The 13571-nt window shown below is 38.4% G+C and overlaps 1 long non-coding RNA gene across 4 annotated transcripts in view; it reads left to right on the top strand.

Moving 5' to 3' along the window:
- Positions 1-13571, top strand: part of LOC105373734 (uncharacterized) — an 80567-nt gene that overhangs the window by 12288 nt on the left and 54708 nt on the right. For 2 of the 4 annotated variants that reach the window (XR_001739766.2, XR_923560.3), the window contains exon 1: positions 4613-4711. The exons of 1 other annotated variant lie outside the window; for it this stretch is intronic. This is a non-coding gene — a long non-coding RNA (uncharacterized LOC105373734). Of the gene's footprint in view, positions 1-4594; positions 4712-13571 lie in introns of those variants that run through there. One more of the 4 variants, XR_007087284.1, reaches the window with a different exon arrangement.

Below are 13571 nucleotides of genomic sequence, written 5' to 3'. Positions count from 1 at the left end.
AACATCAATGCGAAAATCCTCAATAAAATACTGGCAAACCAAATCCAGCAGCACATCAAAAAGCTTATCCACCACGATCAAGTCAGCTTCATCCTTGGGGTGCAAGGCTGGCTTAACATACGCAAATCAATAAACGTAATCCATCACATAAACAGAACCAATGATAAAAACCACATGATTATCTCAATAGATGCAGAAAAGGCCTTCAATAAAATTCAGCACCCCTTCATAATAAGAACTCTCAGTAAACTAGGTATGGATGGAACGTATCTCAAAATAATAAGAGCTATTTATGACAGACCCACAGCCAATATCATACTGAATGGACAAAAGCTGGAAGCATTCCCTTTGAAAACCAGCATAAGACAAAGATGCCCTCTCTCATCACTCCTATTCAACATAGTATTGGAAGTTCTGGCCAGGGCAATCAGGCAAGAGAAAGAAATAAAGAGTATTCAAATAGGAATAGAGGAAATCAAATTGTCTATTTGCAGATGACATGATTGTATATTTAGAAAACCCCATCATCTCAGCCCAAAATCTCCTTAAACTCTTAAGCACCTTCAGCAAAGTCTCAGGATACAAAATCAATGTGCAAAAATCACAAGCATTTCTATACACCAATAATAGACAGAAAGCCAAATCATGAGTGAACTCCCATTCACAATTGCTACAAAGAGAATAAAATACCTAGGAATCCAACTTACAAGGGATGTGAAGGACCTCTTGAAAGAGAACTACAAACCACTGCTCAAGGAAATAAGAGAGGACACAAACAAATGGAAAAACATTCCATGCTCATGGATAGGAAGGATCAATATCATGAAAATGGACACACTGCCCAAAGTAATTTATAGATTCAATGCTATCCTCATCCAGCTACCATTTACTTTCTTCACAGAATTAGAAAAAACTACATTAAATTTCATATGGAACCAAAAAAGAGCCCATATAGCCAAGATAATCCTAAGCAAAAAGTACAATGCTGGAGACATCATGCTACCTGACTTCAAACTATACTACAAGGCTACAGTAACCAAAACAGCATGGTACTGGTACCAAAACAGATATATAGACCAATGGAACAGAACAGAGGCCTCAGAAATAACACCACACATCTACAACCATCTGGTCTTTGACAAACCTGACAAAAATAAGCAATGGGGAAAGGATTCTCTGTTTAATAAATGGTGTGGGGAAAACTGGCTAGTCATATGCAGAACACTAAAACTGGACCCCTTCCTTATACCTTATACAAAAATTAACTGAAGATGGATTAAAGACTTAAATGTAAAACTTAAAACCATAAATACCATAGAAGAAAACCTAGGCAATACCTTCAGTACATAGGCAAGGCCAAAGACTTCATGACTAAAACACCAAAAACAATGGCAACAAAAGCTAAAAGTGACAAACGGGATCTAATTAAACTATAGAGCTTCTGCACAGCAAAAGCTGTGAACAGGCAACCTACAGAATGGGAGAAAATGTTTGCAATCTATCCATCTGACAAAGGGCTAATATTCAGAATCTACAAGGAACTTAAATTTACAAGAAAAAAACAACCCTATCAGAAAGTGGGCAAAGTATATGAACAGACACTTTTCAAAAGAAGACATTTATGTGGCCAAGAAACATATGAAAAAAAGCTCATCATCACTGGTCATTAGAGAACTGAAAATCAAAACCACAATGAGATACCATCTCACACCACTTAGAATGGTGATCATTAAAATGTCAGGAAACAGGCTGGGCACAGTGGCTCATGCCTGTAAATCTAGCACATTGGAAGGCTGAGGTGGGTGGATTGCCTGAGCTCATGAGCTCGAGACCAGCCTGGGCAACACGGTGAAACCCTGTCTCTACTAAATTACAAAAAATTATCTGGGCGTGGCAGCGTGCGCTCGTAGTCCCATCTACTTGAGAGGCTGAGGCAGGAGTATCACTTGAACCTGGGAGGCAGAAGTTGCAGTGAGCCAAGATCGTGCCACTGCACTCCAGCCTGGGTGACAGAGCAAGACTCCGTCTCCAAAAAAAAAAAAAAAAGTCAGGCAACAACAGATGCTGGAGAGGATATGGAGAAATAGGAACACTTTTACACTGTTGTTGGGAGTGTAAATTAGTTCAACCATTGTGGAAGACAGTATGGTGATTCCTCAAGGATCTAGAACCAGAAATACCATTTGACCCAGCAATCCCATTACTGGGTATATACCCAAAGGATTATAAATCATTCTACTATCAAGACACATGCACATGTATGGTTTATTGCAGCACTATTTACAATAGCAAAGACGTGGAACAACCCAAATGCCCATCAGTGATAGACTGTATAAAGAAAACGTGGCACATATACACCATGGAATACTATGCAGCCATAAAAAAGGGTGATTTCATATCCTTTGCAGGGACATGGATGAAGCTGGAAACCATCATTCTCAGCAAACTAACACAGGAACAGAAAACCAAACACCACATGTTCTCACTCATAAGTGGGAGTTGAACAATGAGAACACATGGACACAGGGAGGGGAACATCACACACTGGGGCCTGTCGGGGGGTTGGGGGGTAGAGGAAGGATAGCATTAGGAGAAATACCTAATATAGATGATAGGTTGTTGGGTGCAGCAAACCACCATGGCACGTGTATACCTATGTAACAAATCTGCATGTTCTGCACATGTATCCCAGATCTTAAAGTATAATTAAAAAAAAAATTAGCCAAGTGTGGTGGTGCATGCTGGTGATCCCAGATATTCAGGAGGCTAAGGTAGGAGGATCACCTGAATTCAAGTCGTGGAGGTTACAGTGAGCCGTGTTTGCACCACTGCACTCCAGCCTGGGTGACAGAGTGAGATCTTATCTCAAAATTAAATTAAATTAATAAATTGAATTAAAATAAAAAAATGAACTTCATTTGTCAACATAAGTTCGTCAAGTTTAATCCATTATTAACTGAAGAAAAATGGGTGCCTTTTAAAGATTTGATAATAAAATGAAGTCCAAAGGAGCCAAATCAGGACTATAAGGTGGATGCCTAATGATTTCCCATCGAAGCTATGGTAAAATTGTGTTTGTTTAATGAGAGGAGTAAGTAGGAGCATTATTGTAGTGGGCAAGGACTCTACAGTGAAACTTTCCAGGCATTTTTCTGCTAAAGTATGGCTAACTTTCTCAAAACACTCTCATAATTAGCAGATGTTATCGTTCATTGGCACTTTAGAAAGTCAACAAGCAAATGCCTTGAACATTCAAAAAACTTTTGCCGTGACCTTTAATGTTAACTGGTCCACTTTTGCTTTGACTGAACCACTTCCACCGCTTGGTAGCCATTGCTCTGATTGTGCTTTTTCTTCAGGATTATACTGGTAAAGCCATGTTCCATTCCCTGTTACAATTCTTCAAATAAATGCTTGAAGATCTTGATCCCACTTGTTTAAAATTTCCTTTGAAAGCTCTACTCTTGTCTGCAGCTAATCTGGATGCAATGATTTTGGCACTCGTCAACTGGAAAGTTGGCTCAACTTTAATTTTTCAGTCAGACTTGTGTAAGCTGAACAAGTTGAGATGTCTATAATGTTGGCTTTTATTTCTGCTATTAATAGTTGGCTCTCTTCACCTAAGTCGTGGACAAGATCTTTTCTTTGTAAATTGATGTGGATGGTCTGCCATTGTGCACTTTATCTTCAACATCATCTCATCCCGTCTTAAAATTATTCATTTGTAATCTGCTGATTTATTTGGAACATTGTTCCCATAACGTTTTTGTAAAGCATCAATAATTTAACTATTCTTCCACCCAAGCTTCACCATAAATTTGATGTTTGTTCTTGATGTTTGTTCTTCAAGTTTAGCAGAATTCATGTTTCTCTGATAAGGGCTCTTTTAAAAGTAATATCTTAACCTTCTTAGTGCCTAAAACTAGATTCTCTTTAGCCATGCTATAGCAAGTTAGTATGAGTTTATTTTGTTGCAAAAAAAATTAAAATCCGTGCATTATTTTTTTCATAATATTCATTTCCCATGAACTATTTAAAGACCCCCTCATATATAATAGAAAGCTTTAAAAGTATTTGTGGAACACATAAATAAATAGCAATTTGAAATCTGGTAATGTGCCAGGGTCTTTCTCGGTTTAAAACTTTCCTAATGCTCCTACAACAACCCAATGTCCCTTACTTACTCCGTTGTTTTTCTCAAAATATCTTTACCTGCTTGAACTGACATGCCAAAGGGTATGTTTGAAGTCCTTAAGACTAGATAAATTCCACGTGATTCTCCTCCTCATCCACTGCCCTAGCACATCATAAAAAAGTGGGGCATTTTCTAAAATTAGAAACCAAGTGTTACTCAAATAAATGTATTATCCAGAGAGTATTTTCTTATAGTTTTCATCCAAAAGAAAATGTATAGTCACTGGCTTAAACAAGTCCTCTAAACCAAAGCACAATGAGGCACAGTTTGTTACCCGAGAGCTGCCAAATGCCAACTTTTCAAGACCAAAGATAAGACATGCTAAAGGTCAGTTCTGGGTGGGGAACTCCACTTCCCTGGGGATTTCCATAATCAAATATAGGAAGGTAGTTTTTCACATCCCAGCTCTTTGGAAGGGCCGAGAAACTCTATGAACAGGAGTGAACAATTCCTGTTTTTCTGATTCTCCTTTCCCACCAAAGATTCCTAACTTTCAACACAGTTGCTGAAGCTTAGGTGAGTTCCAGTGTTTAACAGGATACTAAAGGTAATCTCATTATTTGCCATCAATTACATCTTTAAAAAAAAGGTTCCAAGGAATTGTCAAGACATATTTTTCTGATTTCTTAAAAATATATATCTCATAATGAAGAAAAGGAACAGTTACATTTTGCCTATAGTGACATTTTAAAATTAATTAATTTTACTTTACTGTATTTATACTCAAAAATAATTTAAGGTACTTACAAATTTGTTTGCACCAATTATTAGGCTACCAACAGTGGTTAAATCTATAAAATGCACTGATAATATAGTATCATATTCAAAGTTTGTCAATTTTACAATTTAGAATTTATAATCGAGTGCTCAGTAAGTTTCCATTCAAAGGGTAATTTTTAATGAATAAATTAACTTTGTTCATAGGCAAAAATAGAATTTGAACTGGGCACAGTGGCTCATGCCTGTAAACGCAGCTATTCAGGAGGCTGAGACAGGAGGATCCCTTGAACCCATGAGTTTGAGGCTGTAGTAAGCTATGATCACAACACTGCACTCCAGCCTGGGGAACAGAGTGAGACTGTCTCTTACAAAAAAAGAGAATTTGTTTATTAAAAAATTCGTCCTTTGAATTACAACTTATAGAGGACTTACAATGTGTTGAAAGCTATTCTAGGTGCTGGGCATATAAATACATAAAGAGAATATATTCCCTGCCGTCAGGGACTTGAGAGACTAAGAAGGAAAGGGATAGTTTTGTACTGTGTTATCTTAGCTAAGATGAAACCATATTTCTCAGAACTTTCTTTCATGTATAATTTTGGTTTCCTGATGATCACAAGGTACATCAGTTTGAGATTTGGAAGGTAAAGGGAAGGGAAGCAACAGCACTGAAAGTCAGTACTGGGTACCAGGGGCTGCTGCAGCTCATACACATTGTCACTGAGCTGCTGGGTCACCTCGTTGGTAATGGGGCAGCTGGCCAGCATCCCCTCCAGTTTCTGCCTGATCTCCTCCTTCAGCTTCTCTTAGTCCCACTCCTTGCCTCTGGTGGTGAGCAGATATATGTGCATTTCCATGGTGAAGGCCACCTGATTCTTCTGCAGATTTTCCCCATCAAGGTTGCAGATAATGAGAGATAGGAGTGGGTTTCAGTCTCCTCCTGGGTTCCTGCTTGCCCTTGGTCTCCCCAACTTCATGCCTAAATTTCCTCCTGACTGCCAGTTCTGCTGACCCATGGAGACCTCAGGCTCACCACCAGAGGCAAGGCAACAGCCTTCCATAGATTTCTTCACCAGCACACCCAGTGGCATAAGGTTTAATCCCTATAATCTCTAGATATATATCAAGAGAGTAGGGTGGTTCTACCTCTCTCATCAAATCTGATACAAGGAGATAGACATTGATCAAAGAATCATACAGTGTACTATACAATTACCAATTTTGTTAAGGGATTTGAAGAAAGAGTATAAGCTGGAATGAGACAATATAGGTATAGTGCTTTTAATTGGAAAGAGCATGTCAGGGAAGACCACTTTGAAGGAGTAATATTTTAGCTGAGTTTGAGTAGATATTAGCTAAGTCATGAGTTATACAAGAGGAATGGTGTGTGCAGGAGTTCTGAGGTCTGCCCCTTTGGGGGAAGTAAAGGAGTATCACAGTAGCTAGGGTAAGGAGAAGAGGCAGCATGTATTAAAGAAAGCCCAGGCCATTGGGTTCCTGTAGTTTACCGTCTTGAGGCGTCAATCAAGGGGGATTTGACAGGATTTGACAGAAACAGGCTTTCTGTTTTTAAAAGATCACTCTGCCTGCTATATAGAGAAAATAATCACATATATTTGAAAATTAAGACCATTGAGAATTAAGCATTTTCTATAATGAAAAAGAAAATTCATTGAGAATTAATGAATTGTCTATAAAATTCAGCATTTCTCTGCCTCTTGAAATAGAAATTATATACATGTCAAAAACTCACAACATGCAGGAAAATAAAGAACTACCCCAGAGTACTCAAAGTCTGATCACCAAATGTGTGAAGGACGGTGGCTTAGTTGTTATTCTTGATGAATCATATTGCCATATCATAGATGCCTTTTTCCCTTCACACTTTTGGCAAAGTCTGAGATTTTGAAACAAGAGAGGCAAACTACAGTTTAAAGATTCTGACTACAACAATGAATTAAAAAGAGAAGGTTATTGGAACCCATGTTAAAAAAAAAAAAACATGGGAGTCTCATTCTAACAGACCTCTTTTCAAATATCACTGGATCTGTCTCTTTCCATCAGATCTTGAGTTAGCCACATGCTGATTATTGTGCCTGCAAAAAAATAAATCTCATTCTCACAATGTAGATGCTTTTCATCACCTCTGTTGCACTTCAGATTTTTCTTATATATTTTTATTCCTTCTCAGAAAGGGGGTTTGGAGCCATAATTCATCAGTATCAAGTTGGAAAACTATATTACAAATTGATTCTTTGCTAGTTTAAGTGGCCAAAAACTGAGTCATATAAGGAAAAATTAACAAGGGTGGTGATGATAATGATGATGATAATAATAATGATGGAATCTGGAATTGCTAAGAGAAGGCTGGCTTAAGAACAAGTTTTACAAGTGGAAAGGCTTAAAGAAAACACAATTATGAGTTTAGGTTGTTTGGTTTTCCCAAGGGAAGAAAACTGATAATAAAGAAGTCTGATAAGGACTGAAAAATAAAGAGATAAGAAGCAGGAGGTTATTACAGTGGGACAAATGAATAAAAGGGGTGTGGCAGTGGGAATAAAAAGGAGAGAAAATGCAAGTCTTTGAAGAAGTAAAGGTGAAACTTGGGACAAGGTGGCCATCTAGACACAGCCAGGAAGAATTTCTCCCACTGAGAGAGATCAGAATATTGAGCCGAATGACATACTCCAAATAGATCTTCAGAGACAATGTACTAAGAGTGGAGAGAGAAATGATGCAGACACCAGGGTTGAAGGTGGAGGAAGCTGGGAATTCTGCATGGGGTTGCTGAGCACCAGGACTTGTTCCTGACCTTGAACGGCTCCCAAAGAAGGGGCAAGTGAAATAAATATGGAGCATCCCACTGACACCACAGACCTCTGGGATCCTAGCTACAGGAAATCCCATGACCCCAGTGGACATTTGAGTTGGCAGGGGGCACTGCCTGGAGAGTAAGCAGAGACTGAGCTTGAATCTACACAAAGCCCAGGTGGTTTGGTGCAGGGACAGCTGCAGCAGAACATGGCCATAAATGCACATCCCCCAAGGTTCTCCAAACTCCTCTAGGTGGCCTTGGTCTTTATTATGTGCTAGACGTGAAGAGAGCAGGGCTGTCTTTCCTGTGGGAATGGGCTGAGTCTGATCTGCCTGCCCCCCTGTCTGCTGGTCCCTCCTAGAGCGCCTGCCAGGCTGTGCTAGCTCACAGCATAGATTCAGTCATCGTGCTGAGCACTGTTCCCAGCAGCCCCTGCTGCCCTACCAGAGCACTTTTACTGACAACCCCTGCCATAGCATGTTCACTCATGACCCCCACCCTGCCCCACTGGAGTGCATTTGACTGCAGTCCCCAACAGAGCACTGTTGCCAGCAGTCTGGGAGTACCTTGGCCGACTCCAGCACAGCTAGTGCTTGACCTCAAGGGGCCAAAAGAAAAAACCATAGGCTCAGTTCCAGCCCCCTTGTGTTAAAAACTACACAGGCCAGAAATGCAAAGCTGAGCTTTGGGTCTCTAAAGGCATCCAGAAATGAAGCCTTTTCGCTATACCTGACTTGCCCCACATTCAAACACTCAAGGACTATAAAGATCACAAAAATAGAAGGCACCATCCAAAGGATAACAACTTCAAAGGATAAAGGTACATCAGCCCTCACAGAGGAGAAAGAACTAGTGTGAGAACTCCAGAAACTCTAAAAGCCAGAGTGTCCTTTTCCCTCCAAATGATCACAGTAGCTTCCCAGCAATGGTTCTTAAGCAGATAAAAAATGTCAGACATAGAATTCAGAATCTGGATGGCAAGGGAGCCTAATGAGATACAAGAGAGGTTGAAACCCAATCCAAGGAAAACAGTAAATGATCCAAGAGTTGAAAGACAACATAGCCATGTTAAGAAAGAACCAAACTGAACTTCTGGACATGAAAACTTCACTATAGGAATTTTGTAATACAACTGGAAGCATTAACAAGAGAATATACCAAGCAGACGAAGGAATCTCAGAGCTTAAAGACTGCTCCTTTGAAGCAACTTAGGCAGACAAAAATAAAGAAAAATGCTTTTTAAAAATGAACAAAACCTCCAAGAAATATGGGATTATGTAGAGACCAAAACTATGACTCATTGGCATTCCTGAAAAAGAAGACCAAGCCACTTGGTAAACATATTTGAGGATATAGTCCACAAAATTTTCCCCAATCTTGCTAGAGAAGTCAACATGAAAATTAAAGAAATTCAGAGAACCCCTGTGAGATACTATACAGGATGACCATCCCCAAGATGCATAGTCATCAGATTCTCCAAGGTTAACATGAAAGAAAAAAATCTTAAAGGCAGTTAGAGAGAAGAGGTAGGTCACTTAAGGGAACTCTATCAGGCTAACATTGAAGCTTTCAGCAGAAACCTTACAATCCAGAGGAGATTGGGGGCCTATTTTCAGCATTTTTAAAGAAAAGAAATCCCAATCACGAATTGCTTATCCACCAAACTAACCTTTACAGGAGAAGAAGTAAAATCCTTTTCAGACAAGCAAATGCTATGGGAATTCATTATCATTAGACCTGTCTTAGAAGAGGTCCTAAAGGGAATGTTAAACATGGAAACGAAAGAATGATACCTGCTACCATGAAAACACACCTAAGAACATAGCCCATTGTTACTGTAAAACAATCATACAATCAAGACTACATGACAGCCAGCTAACAACACAATGACAGGATCAAATCTTCACATATAAATATTGACCTTGAATGTAAATGGGCTACACGCCCTACTTAAAAAGCATAGAGTGGCAAGATGGAGAAGGAAGCAAGACCTAACTGTCTGCTGTCTTCAGGAGACCCATCTCTCAAGTAACAACACCCATAGGCTCAAAGTAAAGCAGTGGAGAAAGATCTATCAGGCAAATGGATAACCAAAAGGAGCAGGAGTTGCCATTCTTATGTCAGATAAAACGGACTTTAAACCAACAATGGTCAAAAAAGGACCCAAAAAAAGGCATTACATAATTATAAAATGTTCAACAAGAAGACTTAACTAGCCTAAATATATATGCATCTAACATTGGAACACCCAGATTCATAAAACAAGGTCATAGAGATCTACTAAGAGATTTAGATAACTGCACAAGAATAGAGGGAGATTTCAATACCCCATTGATAGTGTTAGATCATTGAGGCAAAAATCTAACAAAGGTACCCTGCACTTAAACTTGACACTTGACCAACTGGACGTAATAAACATCTACAGAACACTCCATCCAACAACAGAATAAAGATTTTTCTTATCTGCATATGGCACATACTCTAAGATTGACCACATGCTCAGCCATAAAGTACATCTCAATAAATTTTTAAAAACTGAACTCATACCAACTACTTTCTGGAAACATAGTTGAATACAAATAGAAATCAATACCAAGAAGATCTCTCAAAACTACACAATTACATGGAAGTTAAAAAACCTGCTTCTCAATGACTTTTGGGTAAGGAACAAAATTAAGGCAGAAATCAAAAAATTCTTTAAAACTAATGAAAACGGAGCTACAACATGGTGGAATTTTTGTGGCATAGCTAAAGCAATGTTAATTGGAAAATTTATAGCACTAAGCACCTACATCAAGAATTTAGAAAGATCTAAAATTAACAATGTAACATTACACCTAGAAGAACTAGAAAAACAAGAAAAAAACATCCCCAAAGCTAGCAGAAGAAAAGAAATGACCAAAATCAGGGCTGAAATGAATGAAATAACATACAAAAGAAATCAGTGATGATACAAAATAAAGAATCATTCCATGCTCATGGATAGGAAAAATCAATATTGTTAAAATGGACATACTGCTCAAAGAAATTTACAGATTTAATGCTATTCCTAACAAGCTACCAATGTCATTTTTTATAGACTTAGAAAAAACTATTTTAAAATGCATGTAAAACCAAAAAAGAGCCTAAATCACCAAAGCAATTCTAAGCAAAGAAAAGCCAAGAGGCATCATACTACCTGACTTAGAACTATACAGTAATCAAAACAGCAGTACACTGGTACAAAAACAGACACATAGACCAATGGAACAGAATAGAGAACCTGGAAATAAAGTCACACACCTATAACCACCTGATCTTCGACAAAGTTGACAATAACAAGCACTGGGGAAATGATTCCCTATTCAATAAATGCTGCTGGGATAACTGGCTAGTCATATGCAGAAGATTGAAACTGGACCCATTCTTTTTATCATGTATAAAAATTAACTCAAGATAGATTAAAGATTCAAATGTAAGACCTTTTAAACTGTAAAAGCCCTAGAAGAAAACAGGAAATACCATCTGGACATAGGTCCTGGCAAAGATTTCATGATGAAGATTGTGGCAAAAGCAATTGTAACAAAAACAGGAATTGACAAAGAGGCCCTAATTAAACTAAAGAACTTTGGCACAGCAAAAGAAACTCTCAACAGAGTAAACAGACAATGTACAGAATGGGAGAAATTAGCCACAAACTATGCATATGACAAAGGTCTAATATCCAGAATCTATAAGGAACTTAAACAATTCAACAAACAAAAAGCAAATAATCCAATTTTAAAATGGGCAAAGGACATGAAGAGTCACTTCTCAAAAGACGTACATGGAGCTAAATACATATGAATAAAATATTACCACTAATCATTAGAAAAAATGCTAATCAAAACCATGATGAGATACCATCTCAGATGAGTCAGAATGGCTATGATTAAAAAGTCAGAAAACAACAGATGTTGGCAAGCTTGTGGAGAAAAGGAACATTTACACACTGTTCATGGGAAAGTCAATTTGTTCAGGTACTGTGGAAAGCAGTATGGAGATTCCTCAAAGAACTTAGAACTACCATTTGACCCAGCAATCCCACTACTGGTATATACCCAAAGGAATATACGTTGTCCTACTAAAAAGACACATGCACCCATATATTCATTGCAGCACTATTCACAATAGCAAAGACATGGAATCAACCTAGATGCCCATCAACAGTGGACTGGATAAAGAATATGTGATACACATATACAATGGAATACTATGCAATTATAAAAACAAAATCATGTCCTTTGCAGCAACGTGGATGCAGCTGGAGGCCATTATCCTAACTAAATTAACACAGGAAGGAAAAACCAAATCCCACATGTTCTCACTTATAAACAGAAGGTGCACAATGAATACGCATGGACACAAAGATGAGAACAATAGATAGTGGGGACTACTTGAGGTGGAAGAGTAGGAGAAGGGCGTGGGTTGAAAAACTACCTCTTGGCTACTATGCTCACTACTTGGGTGACAGGATTATTCATACACCAAATCTCATTGACACGCAATCTGCATGTAACAAACCTGCACATGTAACCCCTAAACCTAAAATAAAAGTTGAGACAGAAAAAAAAAAGAAGTAAAGGCAATATGACTTGGAGTCTGACAGAACATGAGCAGTATAGGAGGAATATGTCTTGGGGATGACGATAAGGGTGAAACAGGAGAACGGAAGAGATGTTTTTTATTTCAAAACAATTTCAAATGTAATGTTACTAATAAAGAAGGTGCTAACTCCAAGTGTTTTCTGGAGGTCAACAGATGAATGGAGACTCCTTTAAAAATATAGCTAATTTCTATTTTTTTAGGCATTCAGATGCAGTCAAACTAATTCAGCCTAGAGATTACTGAAACCTCAGATACCTGAGAAGGAGAAGGCTGTATTTTTCAGAGTAGAACAACACAGGGACATAGTCCCTTAAGGCAGGATAGGAGTGGCTTTTAATTGGCTTTGGCTTTTCATTTTTTTGTTATGTTTGTGGCCCTGGTTTAATTAATGCAACTCAGAATGGAGTTGTCTTGATAATAGCATCACTGGTACTTTGAATCTTTGTATTCACTTGAGCACACATGCAATTATATCTAAGACAAATAGGAGTATACGAATATGATCATGCACTTGGGTATTCTCTCTGTTGAGAGTATTCCTTTGATATAAACTGTAACTTGGTTTCCCCTGAAGGCACATGTTCTGGAGGAGGAAGGGGGTGAGAGAAGGATGGTATTTGCTGCCAGCCTCTACCTACTTCCTCTCTCAACTTGTACCTCCTGGAATTCTCCCTAACATGTCTGGGCCCTTCTCTGCTCTTGAACTCTGTAAATAGGAGAAAAGATTCCATTATTTATGCAGTTGGCAAGAGAAAAATAGCAATTATTATCTGTGATGAGAAACCACTCAGATGGGGGAGCTATGAACATTCCATTACGAAGAGTAATAAAAGGTTGAAAAGCTAGGGCTACAAGTCATGTTTTTAAATTGTAAAACATATTATTCTGTAGTTTGTTTGGAATCAGTTACTGAGGGATTATGGCTCTCGACTTTGGGTCCCAGAGAGGAAGCCTTAGGGGTTGGTAGAATGTGTTCTGTAGCACGTGCTCTGATTCTACAGAGTTCCTGAAAAGGGACTTTATTGGCACTTCCAAATGCTAGGCATTTAGGTTATTTTCTGTGTCTTTTAACACGAAAGTGGTTATCAGTTCCAGCCCTAATTCTCTTGTAAGGCTGCCACAGATGTTGAAAATCCTTTTAAATATTATTAGGTTGGTGCAAAAGTAATTGCGGTTTTTGCCATTATAAAGAATTATCAAGTAGCTTCTTTCTAT

This window comes from Homo sapiens, chromosome 2 (assembly GCF_000001405.40).
Source record: "Homo sapiens chromosome 2, GRCh38.p14 Primary Assembly".
In the NCBI taxonomy this organism is placed as follows: Eukaryota; Metazoa; Chordata; class Mammalia; order Primates; family Hominidae; genus Homo; species Homo sapiens.
The sequence above is the reverse complement of the archived record's forward strand: the minus strand, read 5'-3'. Positions and strand labels throughout refer to the sequence as shown.